Genomic DNA, 16,794 nt, shown 5'->3' on the forward strand with positions numbered 1-16,794 from the left:
TGGGGGGCCGAGGTGGGAGGATCACCTGAGGTCACGAGTTCGAGACCAGCCGGGTCAACATGTTGAAATCCTGTCTCTACTAAAAATACAAAAATTAGCCAGGTGTGGTGGTGGGCGCCCGTAATCCCAGCTACTTGGGAGGCTGAGGCAGGAGAATCGTTTGAACCCGGGAGGCGGAGGTTGCAGTGAGCTGAGATCATGCCACTGCACTCTAGCCTGGGTGACAGAACGAGACCCTGTCTCAAAAAAAAAAAAAAAAAAAAAAGCCACTTGGGATCCAGGATAGGATCCTAAAACAGAAAAAGGACATTAGAAGAAAAAAACCGTGAAACTGGGATAAAGAGTGAAATTTAGCTTATAGAAATGTACCCACATGGGCTTCTTGGTGGTCACAAGTATATGGTCCAGCCTGGGCAACATAGCAAGACCCCATCTGCCATCTCTATAAAAACAATGTAAAAATTAGCTGGGCATGGTGGTGCAAACCTGTAGTCCCAGCTACTTGGGAGGCCGAGGCAGGAGGATCACTTGAGCCCAGGAGGTCGAGGCTGCAGTGATCTGCGATTGTGCCACTGCACTCCAGCCTGGGCAACAGAGCACGGCACTGTCTCAAAAACAGACCAACCCCAAATGCATGGTGACTTCATAAGATGCTAACATAAGGGAAAACTGGTGAGAGGTAGACAGGAAATCTCTGGATTTCTTTGCAACTCTTCTGAAAATCTAAAATTAAAAGTTCATTTAAAAAAAATGCAGACTTTTTAAAATGCTAGTTTCCGTTCTACGAGCTCAGGGTAATTTACCATCAATAAAAGGTAGGGATAGGGAGCTGAAATCCTCACTGTCACCTGCAGGTGGTGCCCTTGCCACAGGAATGCCCTGGCACCCTTGGGCTCTGGCAGCAGCTGGAATCTTGCAGGATCTGCTACACCAGGGCCTGCCACTCAGGACAGCAGCAGCTCAGGGCAGCAGGGATGAGTGATGAAAGGGCTGGAGCGGCATGCCCACGGGGCTGCAGGAGGCCCAGACTCCTGCCCTCCACCTTGCAGGGCAGCTATGAACATAATCCTTCAACTCTGAATCATGTGTTTTTTTTTTTGTTTTTTGTTTTTTGTTTTTTTTGAGACAGGGCCTCACTCTATTGCCCAGGCTGGAGTGCAATGGTGTAATCACAGCTCACTGCAGCCTCCACCTCCTGGGCTCAAGCGATCCTCCTTCCTCAGCCTCCTGAGGAGCTGGGCCTACAGGTGGGCATCACTGTTGTAGTTTTTATGTTCTGGGAAGGGGGAAGGAATGTGCTTAATTTGTGGGCTAATTTTTAATTTTTTAAAAATAGAGACAGGGTCTTTGCTATGTTATCCAGCCTGGTCTTGAACTCCTGGGCTCAAGTGATCCTCTCACCACCTTGTCCTCTGAAAGGGCTGGGATTACAGGTGTAGCCATTTCACCTGGACAACCTTAAATTACTGAATGAATTTGAAGTGGTCTGGTGCGCCCTTCAACTCACTACCCTGCCAGCGACACCGTACACAACTAGGGCACATCTTATCAAAACCAGCAAACTGAGAGAGGCGGATACATTCAGTGTAGACGCTCACCCCTAGGAATTATTATTATTATTATTACTTTTTGAGACGGAGTCTTGCTCTGTCACCCAGGCTGGAGTGCGATCTCAGCTCACTGCAAGCTCCACCTCCCAGGTTCAAGCAATTCTCCTGCCTCAGCCTCCTGAGTAGCTGGGATTACAGGCACCTACCACCACCCCCGGCTAATTTTTGTATTTTTAGTAGAGACGGGGTTTCACCATGTTGGTCAGGCTGGTCTTGAGCCCCTGACCTCATGATCCACCCGCCTCAGCCTCCCAAAGTGCTGGGATTACAGGCGTGAGCCACCGCGCCCAGCCAGGAATCATTATTTTTAAACAGCCTTATTGTGAACTAACGCCTGTACCATACAACTCGCCCACTTGAAGTGTATAATTCATTGTTTTCAGTATATTTGCAAAACTGGCCAACCATCACCTTTATGTAGTTCCAGAACATTCTCATCACCCTACAAAGAAGCCCCCTCGCCATCAGCCCCCGATCCCCAGCCCCGGCCCCCACGCACACCCTCCCTGACTCTGCGGATGGGTCTGTCCTGGACATTTCATAGAAATGGGGTCACACACTGTGTGGCCTTTTGTGTCTGGTGTCTCTCACTGAGTGTGACGTCCTCAAGGTGCATCCATGCTGTGACCTGTGTCAAAGACTCGCTCCTTTCCATGGCTGAGTCTTACTCCTCCTGAGTATGGAAGGACGTGTTTTTTAAATCCATTCACCGGCGGATGGACAATCGGCTCGTTCCTTCTTGTTGGCAATTGTGAATCTGCTGCTGTGAATATTCGTGTCATAGGAATCTTTTTTTTTTTTTTTTTTGAGACAGAGTCTCGTTCTATCCCCCAGGCTGGAGTGCAGTGGGGCACGATCTCGGCTCACGGCAACCTCCACCTCCCGAGTTCAAGCGATTCTCCTGCCTCAGCCTCCAGAGTAACTGGGATTTCAGGTACCCACCACCATGCCTGGCTAGCTTTTTTTGTATTTTTAGTAGAGACGGGGTTTCCTCATGTTGGCCAGGCTGGTCTTGAACTCCTGACCTCAGGTGATCCGCCAGCCTTGGCCTCCCGAAGTTGTTGGGATTACAGGCAACAATGATTCCCAGCCCTAGGAATCATTTTTAAGATGAGTTCTCACTCTCTGCCTTCACTGCAAACCTCCCTGTCCCCAGCCCTTTAACCCCAGCCCCTGGCTGTCCTCAAGACCTTGGACTTGGCAGTGAGGCGATCCCTGCGGATGCCCCTTGGTCTGCACTCGGCCTCAGAGCAGCTTGGGTCAGAGGCGAGCACAGCGTGGGTGAAGCCGCATCCCAGCCGCTCTGTCCTCGGGCCTTGAGCCGCACCAGCTGGCGCCAGGCTGTCCCCCAGCGACCTTCAGCGGCTCACTCAGCCTGACAGAAACGCTGTGTTTTCATGTTCCCTGTGTGGACAAATCACAATCGACCCGGGCGGCCAGCAGTGGAGACAAGGAGGAGAGACCTCTCCGCGGGGGTTAGGTCCCCTCAGAAACTGCCGAGCTGGGGCAACACGAACCGCTGGGACCTCCTGTTCATAAATTAGTATGGATTTCAAGGCGCCAATAGCCCGGCTTTAAACCCAGCTCAGGGCCCTGGGCACCTATGGGCAGCTGGCCCTTCCACCCAGCAGGCAGGCAAGTCTCAGACACAGGCAAGAAACACTCCAGGTAGCAGGTGCCGAATGTCAGCAGGGAGAGATCAGTCCCCCTTGGGACACAGAGGCCATGGACAGTGGTGGTGGTCAGGGGACCTCGTGTACGAAGGGCTGCCACCGCCTCCCGGCCCTCCCCACTGTGTCCTGGAGGCACTTCTCCAGATCTCTGTCCGACTTCCTTCCTTCCTTCCTTCCTTTCCTTCCTTCCTTCCTTCCTTCCTTCCCTCCCTCCCTCCATCCCTCCCTCCCTACCTTCCCTCCATCCCTCCCTCCCTCCCTCCCTACCTTCCCTCCATCCCTCCCTCCCTCCCTTCCCTCCATCCCTCCCTCCCTCCCTTCCCTCCATCCCTCCCTCCCTCCTTCCCTCCTTCCTTTCTTCCTCCCTCCCTCCTGCCTTCCTTTCCTCCCTCTCTTTCTCTTTTTCTTTCTCTCTCTTACTCTCTTTCTGTCTTCCTTTGTCTCTCTCTTTCCTTCTTTCTTCTTTCTCTTTCTTTTCTCTCTCCCTTTCTCTCTCTCTCTCTCTCTCTTTTTTTTTTAAGACAGTCTCACTCTGTCACCCAGGCTGGAGTGCAGTGGTGCCATCTCAGCTCATTGCAACCTCCACCTCTCAGGTTTAAGAGATTCTCCTGCCTCAACCTCCCAAGTAGCTGGGATTACAGGTGCCCATCACCACGCCCAGCTAATTTTTGTAGTTTTTGTAGAGATGGTGTTATGCCATATTGGCCAGGCTGGTCTTGAATTCCTGGGCTCAGGCAATCCACCTGCTTCGGCCTCCCAAAGTGCTGGGATGACACGCATGAGCCACCGTGCCTGACCAATTTCTTTCTTTAAAAAATTAAAATAGGCCGGGTGCAGTGGCTCATGCCTGTTATCCCAGCACTTTGGGAGGCCAAGGCAGGCAGATCACCTGAGGTCAGGAGTTCAAGACCAGCCTGGGCAACACAGTGAAACCCCGTCTGTACTAAAAATACAAAAATTAGCCAGGTCTGGTGGCAGGCGCCTGTAATGCCAGCTACTCGGGAGGCTGAGATGGGAGAATCGCTTGAACCCGGGAGACAGTGGTTGCAGTGAGCCAAGATCGCACTACTGCACTCTAGCCTGGACGGCTAAGCGAGACTCCGTCTCAAAAAAAAAAAATTAAAATATTCGCATGCCATAAAATTCCCCCTTGTAGAACCTGGAGAATACGATGCCAAGTGAAATAGGCCAGACGCTGAGAGAGAAAAACACTGCGTAATCCCACGTATTGTGGAGTCCAAAAACAAAACAAGCAAAGAACCCCAAATACAGCCAGGCACGGTGGCTCATGCCTGTAATCCCAGCGCTTTGGGAGGCCGAGGCGGGTAAATCACCTGAGGTTGGGAGTTCAAGACCAGCCTGGCTAACATGGTGAAAGCCCGTCTCTACTAAAAATATAAAATTAGCCGGGCGTGGTGGTGCATGCCTGTAATCCCAGCTACTCAGGAGGCTGAGGCAGGAGAATCGCTTGAACCCGAGAGGCAGAGGTTGCAGTGAGCTGGGATCGTGCCACCTGCACTCCAGCCTGGGGAACAGAGCGAGACTCCATCTCAAAACAAACACACAATCAAAACCTCCCAAATACATAGAAACAGAAAGCAGAAGAGCGGTTAGTGGTAGAGGAGGGAAAGGAAGGGGGAGATGGGGGTCAGAGGATACATAGTTTCAGCTGTGTTGGAAACACTGAGAGATGTCACTGTAGCCTGTGAACCAGCTAAAGATATTGTACTATGGGCTGGGCACAAGGGCTCATGCCTGTAATCCTAGTGCTTTGGGAGGTTGAGGTGGGAGGATTGCTGAAGGCCAGAAGTTTGCAACCAGCCTGGGCAACATAGCAAGACCCTAGGCCAGAAGTTTGCAACCAGCCTGGGCAACATAGCAAGACCCTATCTCTACAAAAAATTTAAAAATTTGCTGGGCATGGTGGCTCCAGGGATCACGTGAGCCCAGAAGGCAGAGGCTGCAGTGAACCGAGATCACACCACTGCACTCCAGCCCGGGCAACAGAGCAAGACTCTGACTCAAATAAATAAATCAAAATAAAATAAAATAAATAATAGAAACTGAAAACAAAAACCAGGCCTCACCCACAGTGTCGAAGGCATGCATCTTCTAGGGTTATTAAGGTGCTGGTTGTTATTTTTGCTTGTAATTCTGAAAAGGCTGATAGATTTTATAGCCCAGTATCTCCAAGCAGCGCCCAAGGACACAAACAGCCAGACCCTCAGCTCCCAAACCTGGGGATTTGCAACAGACAAACACAGAGCTGGGAAATTCCGCAGCAGGGCAGATGAGGGATCGATCTGAGTCCCATGATCCTCGGCCCTGCTGAGGTCCCAGGAGGCTGCACACATTGAAATCCACATCCTGAGTGGGGCGGAGGGAGGAGGAGAATCCCAGGAGCTGGGGGGCCCCCCTGGTTTATACCGTCTTCCCCATCAGGAGTTTATCCTGGTGTCTGGAGTGAGAAGGGATCGAAGTCTATTTTTTTCCAGATGAATGTAGGGTCTCCCCCTCGGCACTGTGGGCATTGGGGCCGGATCATTCTCTGGGGTGGGGCTGTCCTGGGCACTGCGGGGAGCTGAGCAGCGTCCCTGGCCTCCACCCACCCCATGCCAGGGGCATCCCCCATCTAGAGCTGTTCCGTTGCCTTGAATTTCTGCCCTCTGGCCTCCCCTGTCCTCATCCTTATGGGATCTTCAGATGGTGCCCTTGAGGCCCAGGGCCCGTGTCCCCTCCTCACTCAGCCCTCCTATCCACAGGTGACTCACAGTCCCCTTGGCACCACCCAGGCGCTGTCCCTGGCCTCGCCCATGGCTAACCTTGGCAGGCATCCCCAACAGAGGCGAGGGGACAGCTCTCGCCTGCCTCGGCGAGCCCGGGTTCCAGAAGATGTGCCCAGCACCCTGGGCCCCCCACCGCCGGGTCTGGGACACAGATGCTCTCCTCCAAACCTCCCATTCAGACCCTCGCTGTGGCGGGGGCGGGGCCGTGTCTTTTGAGACTCTGCATATGCACGAGGGGGTGAGTTTGAGTGAGGCGGTCTCCATGCAGAGGAAGGTCTTTATTTAGGAAGCCAGGTGGGGGCGGGGCCGGCTGGGGAGGAGAGGCGGAGAGGAAAGACGAGCTTCTGCAGATTTCAAACCTGTCATTTCTTTTCTGACGCATACCCTCCCCTCCCGCTTCATGACAAGCTCTGTTCCCACCTTCCCCGGGTTCCCAGAGCAGCCTCCTAGACACGATCCGAAACAGCACGGGTCCCCCTCCCAACCCCCAGGCACTATGGACATTAGAGCTGGGTCACTCTCTGGGGTGGGGCCATCCTGGGCACTGCAGGGAGCTGAACAGCATCCCTGGCCTCCACCCACTCTATGCCAGGAGCACCCCCAGTCACGACAGTCACAGATGTCCCCAGACATTGCCTGATGTCCCCTGGGGAACAGAATCATCCCCAGAAAGACCTCCTCAGTTAGGGGGTTCCACAGATCCCCAAGAGACTGTGTCCCATGATCCTCCCCCTTGCTGAGGTCCCAGGAGGCTGCACACATTGAAATCCACACCCTGAGTGGGGGGAGGGAGAGAGGAGGAGAATCCCGGGAACTGGAGTCCCCTAGTTTATGTTGTCTGCCCCATTGGGAGCTTATTCTGGTGTCTGTTGTGAGCAGAGACGCAATTCAATTATTTTTTTCGAAATAATGAATGCAGGGTCTCCCCCCTCTGCACTGTGGACATTGGGGCTGGACCATTCTCTGGGCTGGGGCCATCCTGGGCACTGCAGGGTGCTAAGCAGCATCCCTGGCCTCCACCCACTCCATGCCAGGGGCACCCCCGAGTTGTGACAACCACAGATGTCCCCAGACATTGTCCAGTGTCCCCTGGGAGGCAGAGGCAGGAGGACTGATTGAGCTCAAGAGTTCAAGACCAGCCTGGACCACATAGCAAGACCCCATCTCTACAAAAAAAATTTTAAAACATAGCCAGGTGTGGTGGTCTGCACCTGTGATCCCAGTTACTCAGGAGGCTGAGATGGGAGGATTGCTGAGTCTGGGAGGTCGAGGCTACAGTGAGCTGAGATCACACCACTGCACTCCAGGCTGGGTGACAGAGCAAGACTCTGTCTCAAAAAAAAAAAAAAAAACCACACACACACAAAAACAAAAAGAGACCCTATCTCAAAAAAAAGAGGGGGTTAAATAATCTGACTAGATACCTCTCAAATAAAGACACGCAGGCAGCCAACAGGATTATGAAAAAACGCTGAAGATCATTAATCAGCCAGGAAATGCAAATTAAAACCAAAATGAGATACCTGTTAGAATGGCTATGATCCAAAAGATAAAAGATAAAAAACATTAGTAAAGATGGCCGGGTGCGGTGGCTCATATCTGTCATCCCAGCACTTTGGGAGGATGAGGCAGGCAGATCACGAGTTCGAGACCAGCCTGGCCAACATGGTGAAACTCTGTCTCTACTAAAAATATAAAAATTAGGCCGGGTGCGGTGGCTCATGCCTGTAATCTTAGCACTTTGGGAGGCTGAGGTGGGCGGCTCACAAGGTCAGGAGATGGAGACCATCCTGGCTAACACAGTGAAACTTTGTCTCTACTAAAAATACAAAAAAATTAGCCGGGCGTGGTGGCGGGCGCCTGTAGTCCCAGCTACTCGGGAGCCTGAGGCAAGAGAATGGCGTGAACCCGGGAGGTGGAGCTTGCAGTGAGTCGAGATCGCGCCACTGCACTCCAGCCTGGGTGACGGAGAGAGGCTCCGTCTGAAAAAAAAAAAAAAAAAAAAAATACATATATATATAAATTAGCCAGGCGTGGTGGTGGGCACCTGTAATCTCAGCTGCTTGGAGACTGAGGCAGGAGAATCACTTGAACCTGGGAGGCAGAGGTTGCAGTGAGCCAGGATCGTGCCACTGCACTCCAGCCCGGGTGACAGAGTGAGACTCCGATTCAAAACAAAAAAAAAAAAAAGAAAGAAAGAAAAAAAAAAGAAACATTGGTAAGGATGTGGAGAAAAGGGAACCCTGTGTGCTGTTGGTGGGAATGTAAATGAGCACAGCCATTCTGGAGAACGGAATGGAAGTTCCTCAAAAAATTAAAGATAGAACCACCATATGATCCAGTAATCCCACTTCTGGGTATACATCCAAAGGAAATGAAATCAGAATCTGTCAGCCTCATTCACAATAGCCGAGATAGGAAACCAACCTACATGTCCATCGTTGGATGAATGGATACAGAAAATGTGAGGCCGGGTGCGGTGGCTCACGCCTGTCATCCCAGCACTTTGGGAGGCCAAGGCAGGCGGATCACAAGGTTAGGAGTTCAAGACCAGCCTGGCCAACATGGCGAAACCCTGTCTCTACTAAAAATACAAAAATTAGCCGGGCATGGTGGTGCACGCCTGTAGTCCCAGCTACTCAGGAGGCTGAGGCAGGAGAAGCTTGAACCCAGGAGGCGGGGGTTGCAGTGCGCCAAGATCACGCCACTGCACTCCAGCCTGAGTGACAGAGTGAGGCTCCATCAAAAAAAGAGAAAGAAAGATGAACTAGACCAGAGGTTGGTAAACTCTGGCCCATGGGTCAAATGCAGCCCACTGCTTGCTTTTGTACATAAAGTTTTATTGGCACACAGCCGTGCGTGTTCACTTACATATCATCCATGGCTGCTTCTGGGCTCCTACAGCACAGCTGGGAGGCCTCGACAGAGAGCACATGGCCTGCAACGCCAAGAATTTACCTCCGGCCCTTTAGGAAGGGTTGATATAATCCGTGTACTAGAGTTAGATCTCAGAGGACCTTGAATGCCAGAAACGAGTAAGTCCTAATGATTTTTAGCAAAGAGTAACACTGTAAAACCAAATGTTTACAGATTTCATGTGCTGGAATCCTCTGGGGGTGGGGCAGCGGAGAGGCCTTAAAACATGAAACAGCGTCAGATCAATTTTCAATGATTGTCTTCAAAATTAAAACTGGCTCATTACAGGCGCGGTGGCTCATGCCTGTAATCCCAGCCCTTTGGGAGGTCTAGGAGGACAGATTTCTTGAGCCCAAGAGTTCGAGACCAGCCTGGGCAACATGGTGAAACCCGGTCTCTACTAAAAATACAAAAATTAGTTGGGTCTGGTGGTGCACACCTGTAGTTCCAGCTACTGGGGAGGCTGAAGCAGGAGGATGTCTTGAGCCTAGGAGTTCGAAGCTGCAGTGAGCTGAAATGGTGCCACTGCACTTCACCCTGGGTGACAAAGCAAGACCCCGTCTCAATTAAAAAAAAAAAAAAAAAAAAAAAAATATATATATATATATATATATATATATATATATATATACACATAATAACATTTATCCTAAAAAGAGAAACAGTACAAAGGCACTCAGAGCTGAAACTCAAAGTCGTCTGCCAGTCTCTAACTCCTGACTTTTGGGTTTCATGTCCTGCTTTATAGGACTTTTTGAATTCTGCCCCCAAGGATCCTTTTCAAAAATCTTTTGTTTCAGCCAGGCACAGGGGCTTGTGCCTGTAATCCCAGCTACTGGAGAGGCTGAGGCAGGAGGATCATTTGGAGCCAGGAGAGCTGGAGACCAGCCTGGGCAACATAGCAAGACACCATCTTTTAAAAAAATTTTGTTTCTGTTTTGGAAAAATTTTCGATTTACAGAAAAGTTGCAAATCTAGTCCAACGTTCCCTATGGGCAGCAGGCAACCTAGGTACCGAGGCAAGAGACTGAGGGCACGAGCTGCCTGGCTCTGCCTTCGAGATAGCAGTAACAGAATTAGTGAAAGTACTAAAAGTCTCTGAAATGCGGAAATAATGGCGTAAGCTGTCTCCTCTCTCTCTCTCTCTCTTTGCCTCGGCTGCCAAACAGGGAAGGGCCCCATGTCCAGTGGACACATGACCTTACCTATCATTGGAGATGGCTCATACTCCTTACCCTGCCCCCTTGTCTTGTATCCAATAAATAACAGTGCAGCCTGGCATTTGGGGCCACTACCGGTCTTCATGTCTTGGTGGTAGTGGTCCCCCGGGCCCAGCTGTCTTTTCTTTTACCTCTTTGTCTTGTGTCTTTATTTCTACGATCTCTCGTCTCCACACACGGGGAGAAAAACCCACAGACCCTATAGGGCTGGACCCTACAGTTCTCAAACGCCCCTCACCCAGTTTCCCCTCATGTTAGTATCTTACATCTGGGGTCTGCAAATTTTTTCTGCAAAGGGACAAAAAGTAAGTATTTTATGCTCTGTGAGCTAAAGGGTCACTGTTGCATATTCCTCTTTGTTATTTGTTTTTTTACAACACTTTTAAAATGGAAAAGGCTTTTTAGCCCCGAGCTTTATAAAAATAAGCCAAGTATAAACAAAACGTGGTACATCCCCCGAAACCAAAATGTACCCCCGTGTTCACAGCAGCACGATTCACCACACCCCAAAGGCAGAGACACCCAAGTGACCACCGAGAGATGAATGGATAAACACAATGTCATCCATTATGCCACGGAATATGATTCAGCCTGAAAAAGGAAGGAAATTTTGACATGGGCTAGAGAGTGGATGAACTTTGAGGGCATCACGCCCAGTGAAATGAGCCAGATGCAAAAGGACAAATCCTGTGTAACTCCACGCTTAGGAGGTCCCTAGAGAGTGAGCCACACCAAATGTAAACTGTAGCTGTTAGTCAATAATCATGTATCCACTGGCTCATTAGTTGTAACAAATGTAGCACATTAATGAGAGAGGGTAACATTGGGGGAAATGCGTACCTTTTCGGGGAGAGGAGATAGGTGGGAACTCTGCCTTCTGCTCAATTCTTCTTTAGGCCTAAAACTGCTCTAAAAATAGTCTATTAAAAGGGGGACTTGAAGAGACAAATTGTGAGAGTTGTATCACGAACCAAGCGTTCTGATTTTTTTTTTTTTTTGAAATGGAGTCTCGCTCTGTCACCCAGGCTGGAGGGCAGTGGCACAATCTCGGCTCACTGCAAGCTCCACCTCCCGGGTTCATGCCATTCTCCTGCCTCAGCCTCCCGAGTAGCTGGGACTACAGGCGCCCGCCACCACACCTGGCTAATTTTTTGTATTTTTAGTAGAGACGAGGTTTCACCGGGTTAGCCAGGATGGTCTCAATCTCCTGACCTCGTGATCCGCCCACCTTGGCCTCCCAAAGTCCTGGGATGACAGACGTGAGCCACTGCGCCTGGCCTTGATTTTTTTTAAATAAAGGAGAGGAGGGCCGGGCGCGGTGGCTCACGTCTGTCATCCCAGCACTTTGAGAGGCTGAGATGGGGGGATCACCTGAGGTCAGGAGTTTGACAGGAGTTTGAGACCAGCCTGGCCAACATGGCAAAACTCCATCTCTACTAAAAATACAAAAATTAGCCAGGCATGGTGGCACTTGCCTGTAATCCCAGCTACTTGGGAAGCTGAGGCAGGAGAATCGCTTGGACCTGGGAGGCGGAGGTTGCAGTGAGCTGAGATCACGCCACTACACTCCAGCCTGGGAAATAGAGGAGTGAGACTCCATCTTAAAAAAAAAAAAAAAAAAAGAGAGGAGGGGAGGGAAAGAGGGAGGGAAGGAAAGAGGAAGGGAGAGGAAGAGGGAGAAAGGGTGGGAGAGAGAGGAAAACAGAGTGAGAGGGAGGGAGAGAGGAAGGGAAGGGGAATGAGTGTGAGCGAGGGAGGGATGGAGGAAGGAAGGAAGGGAGGGAGGGAGGGAGGGATGAGGGAAGGAAGAGGAAAGGAGAGACACCCACTTTAGACAACATGATCCGTAAGCACTGACATTTATGACTGGATCCCCTTCCACAAGCTTCCTGAATAAGCCCCAGAGAGAAGACTGGTCAGTCTTGGCCAAATGGATTTTCTGCTTTCCCCCGAGCCCCTGTGAGTATCATCACAATGTAATACCATGAGGATCAAAATCTCCTGGCCACTTAAGCCTGGATTAACCCACACCAGAGCCATCCTCCTCACCGAGGGGCCATGGCGGCGAGCGGATCACACAGCAGTCCTCATGGAATCCGTCCCAATTAGCCTCTGTCGGATTACTCACAGAACCTGCCATCCGTGGAAGGCAGATTAGCCTAGGATGCATGTGTAAATCCCATTTGGTGAACGAAAGCATATTCTGGAGATGATTAGCTTATTTCTGCAAGATGGCATCAAGTGGGAGATAACACATCTTCATCCCCGTTACACCCACAAGGCTCTGTGTAATTCTCCCTGAGCCTCATCCCTTTCCAATCCTGATTCCCTGTGGGAGAAACACAATTCCTTCCATTGAAGGGTTGATGCTGTGGGTAAGACCTTTTCATCCTCCTGCTCCAAAACCACAGGGAAGGGAGAAACTGGACGTATATTTTTCATCTGTTTACCATGTTCCTGCCCTCAAAGGTACAAGAAGACAAGCTAGAAAGTAGACGAGGCTGGGTGTGGTGGCTCACGCCTGTGATCCCAGCACGTTGGGAGGCTGAGATGGGAGGATGGGGGCCTAGGAGTTCAAGACCAGCCTGGGCAACATAGTGAGACACCCCCACCACCAACACCCCACCACCATCTGTACAAAAAATACAAAAATTAGCCAGTCGTGATGGTGTGCCCCTGTAATCACAGCTACTTGGAAGCCTGAGGCAGGAGGATCACTGGAGCCCAGGAGTTCAAGACTGTGGGGAGCCATGCTCATACCACTGCACTCCAGCCTGGGCAATGGAGGAAGACCCTGTCTCAAATAAATAAATAAAGACACAGTGACTTTTGCTTGTTCTTTCTTGGGTCATGTGTTCTGGGGGAAGCCAGCTGCCATGTTGTGGGGAAATGCAGGCAGTGCTGTGAAGAAATCCATGTGTTGCAGAAATGGGCCCTCCAGGCCGGGCACGTTGGCTCACACCTGTAATCCCAGTACTCTGGGAGGCCGAGGCGGGCAGATCACCTGAGGTTGGGAGTTCGAGGTCAGCCTGACCAACATGGAGAAACCCTGTCTCTACTAAAAATACAAAATTAGCCGGGCGTGGTGGTGCATGCCTGTAATCCCAGCTACTAGAGAGGCTGAGACAGGAGAATTACTTGAACCTGGGAGGCGGAGGTTGCAGTGAGCCAAGATCGTGCCACTGCACTCCAGCCTGGGCAACAAGAGCAAAACTCTGTCTCAAAAAAAAAAAAAAGAAAAGGAAAGAAAGAAAGAAAAGAAAGAAAGAAAGAAAGAAAGAAAAGAAAGAAAGAAAGAAAGAAAGAAAGAAAGAGAAAGAAAGAAAGAAAGAAAGAAAGAAAGAAAGAAAGAAAGAAAGAAAGAAAGAAAGAAATGGGCCCTCCAGGCTGGGCACAGTGGCTCATGCCTATAATCCCAGCACTCTGGGAGGCCAAGGTTGGGGCAGGTCATTTGAGATCAGGAATTTGAGACCAGCCTGGCCAACACAGTGAAACCCTATCTCTACTAAAAAAAAATATAAAAATTAGCCAGTAATTGGCTAATTACTGTAATTATGCCTGTAATCTCAGCTACTCGGGAGGCTGAGGCAGAAGAATTGCATGAATCCAAGAGGCAGAGGTTGCAGTGAGCCAAGATTGTGCCACTGCACTCTAGCCTGGCTGACAAAGTGAGACTCCATTAAAAAAAAAAAAAAAAAAAAAGGAAGGAAGGAAGGAAAAAAGGAAAGAAGGAAGGAACGACTCATTTGGGCATTTTGCCCTCCTGTCAAGGCCAGTTGGAAGCTGAGGCCTCCACCAACAGCCACATGAGGGCGCCCTCTTGAAAGCAGCTCCTCCAGCTCCAATCGAGCCTTCAGATGATACAGCCCCAGCACATTCACTGCCAGAATCACCCAGTGGAGCTGCTTCCTAACTCCTGAGTGAGGGTGGAAAAAACTCAAACTCAAATTGCTTTTCCTCTTGCTCTCACATCAACAGCAATCAACATGGCCAGGTGCAGTGGCTCACGCCTGTAATCCCAGCACTTTCAGAGGCCAAGGCAGGTGGATCACTTAAGATCAGGAGTTTGAGACCAGCGTGACCAACACGGTGAAACCCTGTCTCTACCAAAAATACAAAAATTAGCCAGGCGTGGTTGTGGGCACCTGTAATCTCAGCTACTCAGGAGGCTGAGGCAGGAGAATCACTTGAACCTGGGGGGCGGAGGCTGCAGTGAGCAGAGATTGCACCATTGCACTCCAGTCTGGGCGACAGAGCGAGACTCCATCTCAAAAAAAAAAAAAAAAAAAAATCAACCCAAGATATTTCTGTGACCAAATGTGAGAGGAGTTTCCCCACACACCAGCTAGCTGTCCCCTAATTCGATTCAGTTCAATTCAATTCAGGTGCTATCTACCTGGAGACAGCCTTGGACCCCACAGGTTGAGGGCTAAATCCCCCCACAAGACTGCCCCTAACCTCTTCAGATACCAGTAGCAAGTTTGGGCCTCCAGAACTTCCAACTGACCAGCTTGAAGTTAGGGTTGGGTTTAATTTACTACAGCAGCTCTCGGAATTCAGGGAAACACATTTACTGGTTTAATATAAAGCATATTACAAAGAATACAGACGAAAAGATGCATAGGATGAGGTATAGGGAAGAAGGGCAAAGCTTCCTTGGCATGCTACCCTTCAGGAACCTCCATGTGCTCAGCTATCTCAAAGTTCTCCAAACCCCGTCCTTTTGAAGTTTTATGGAGGCTTTACTTCATAGGCATGACTGATCGCGTCACTGGCCACTGGTCATCACCTCAACCTTCAGCCCTTCTCCCCTCCCCAGAGGCTGGAGGGTACAGCTAAAGGTTCCAGCCCTCTCATCCTGCCTTGATCTTTCTGGTGGCCAGACCATTCCTGAAAATAACTAGAAGCTGTCAGCCATCAGTCGACTTATCATCATACAAAAAGACATGACTTTGCAGATTCCAAGGATTTTAGGAGTTCTGCACCAGAAAAAAATCAGGACAAAGACCAAATAATATAATAAATATAATGCAAGTAATATAATATCCCACTGACCCACAGAAACTGCAGGATAGTAAATGCTTGCTGTTTAAGCTAAGTGTTGGGGTAATTTGTTACACAGTGATAGATAACTGGTACATCTGCAAAGGGAAGGAAGGGCTGATCCACATGACTCCTCCAAGCAGATGTTGCTATAGTTTGAATGTGTCTCCCAAAAAGCATATTGTAGAAACTTTAATTCCCAATGCCACCATGTTGAGAGGTGAGAACTTTAAGAGGTGATTAGGTTATGAAGGCCCTACCCTCATTAATGCCATCTCTCTTTCTCTCTCCCTCTCACCCTTTCTCTCTCTCTCCCCCCCCTCCTCTTTCTTCCCCAGTTCCCCAATCTTTCATATATGTGCTCTTTTGCCCTTCCACCTCTGACGCAGCAAGAAGGCCCTCACCAGATGCCAGCACCTCGACATTGGACTTCCCAGTCCCTAGAACCGTTAAGAAACAAATCTCTATTATTTATAAATTATCCAGTCTATGGCATTCCATTATAGCAGCACAAAATAAAGACAGGTGTGTAGTCAAACATTACCTTTTCCTAAAAGCCAGCAATTGGATTTTTCATTTTCTTGTTTTTCCAATATCTATCAACCTGATAATTGGGAGAGATGCAAAAGCCCAGATGGATAAGGTACATTCACTGAGGGCAAATCAGAAGAATGACCAGGCCAAGAAAATGATTCATTTTGGCATTTTGCAAATTATCAAGATATGCATGCCAGCACCAGTTTTTAAAACTGAACAAATCCACTGGCTTTTATCTATTTCCTACTAAAGCAACGTGGCTTGATCTTGACACTATTAAACTGGGGCTTGATTATTCTCTGGGGTGGGGCCGTTCTGGGCACTGCACAGTGCTGAGTAGCATCCCTGGTCTCCACCTACTCCAGGCCAGGAGCACCCCCAAGTCACGGTACCCACAAATGTCCCCAGACATTACCAGTGTCCCCCAGGGGGCAGGCTTGCCCCCAGTTGAGACCCAATGCTCTAAGGCATGTCCCTCAAGGGCAGGACAGCCAGGGACCTGACATTTGATGACAGGCCTATCCTCCACCGCCCCCCAGGCCCGGCTGCACTTCCTCCTCTGGGAACTGAGTGGGCAGGACGGGCTGTCAGAGCCCCCTTCCCTTCCCACGCTGACATTCTGCCAGCACGTGGCAGGGGCGTCTTGTCTCGTTGGAGGCTGGATATAGAAACACAGCCCTGTCCTTTGTGCCATCGCTGAAGTTGTCAACCTCAGCCTTCACTCATCACCACAGCAACCATCTAAATATGTCACCAGCAAAGTGCTGATTGCAAAGGAAGGGGGCAGAGAGGCCTGGACGGGCTCTCACCCAGGTGCAGGCGCAGGGGAGGTGCCGGGACTGGGGGAGTGACGTGGCTGCTTCAGAGCCACGAGACTGATGACGGCCAGGCCGGGCGTGACCTGGAACAGGCTCCACTGCACCCTGGGGCACACAGAACAAAGGGGCAGGCCTGCTTGACCCTGAGGGTTCAAGGTCTCTGTGAGCCGAGGTCAAGGAGGGGGAAGGAA

At 50.3% G+C, this 16,794-nt stretch overlaps 1 protein-coding gene across 2 annotated transcripts in view, besides 1 other annotated feature; it reads right to left on the reverse strand.

Moving 5' to 3' along the window:
- Positions 1 to 16,794, reverse strand: part of GNG7 (G protein subunit gamma 7) — a 191,476-nt gene that overhangs the window by 136,566 nt on the left and 38,116 nt on the right. The gene's annotated exons all lie outside the window — the stretch shown is intronic.
- Positions 2,730 to 2,905: a silencer, noted in NCBI's record as "fragment chr19:2650512-2650687 (GRCh37/hg19 assembly coordinates)". NCBI's record gives its function as "represses an EF-1alpha promoter that drives an FKBP-Casp9 reporter gene in an ReSE screen in K562 erythroleukemia cells {active_cell/tissue: K562}" and the evidence as "EXISTENCE:reporter gene assay evidence [ECO:0000049][PMID:32094911]".

The sequence above is a fragment of the Homo sapiens genome, chromosome 19, assembly GCF_000001405.40.
Source record: "Homo sapiens chromosome 19, GRCh38.p14 Primary Assembly".
NCBI classification, from domain to species: domain Eukaryota; kingdom Metazoa; phylum Chordata; class Mammalia; order Primates; family Hominidae; genus Homo; species Homo sapiens.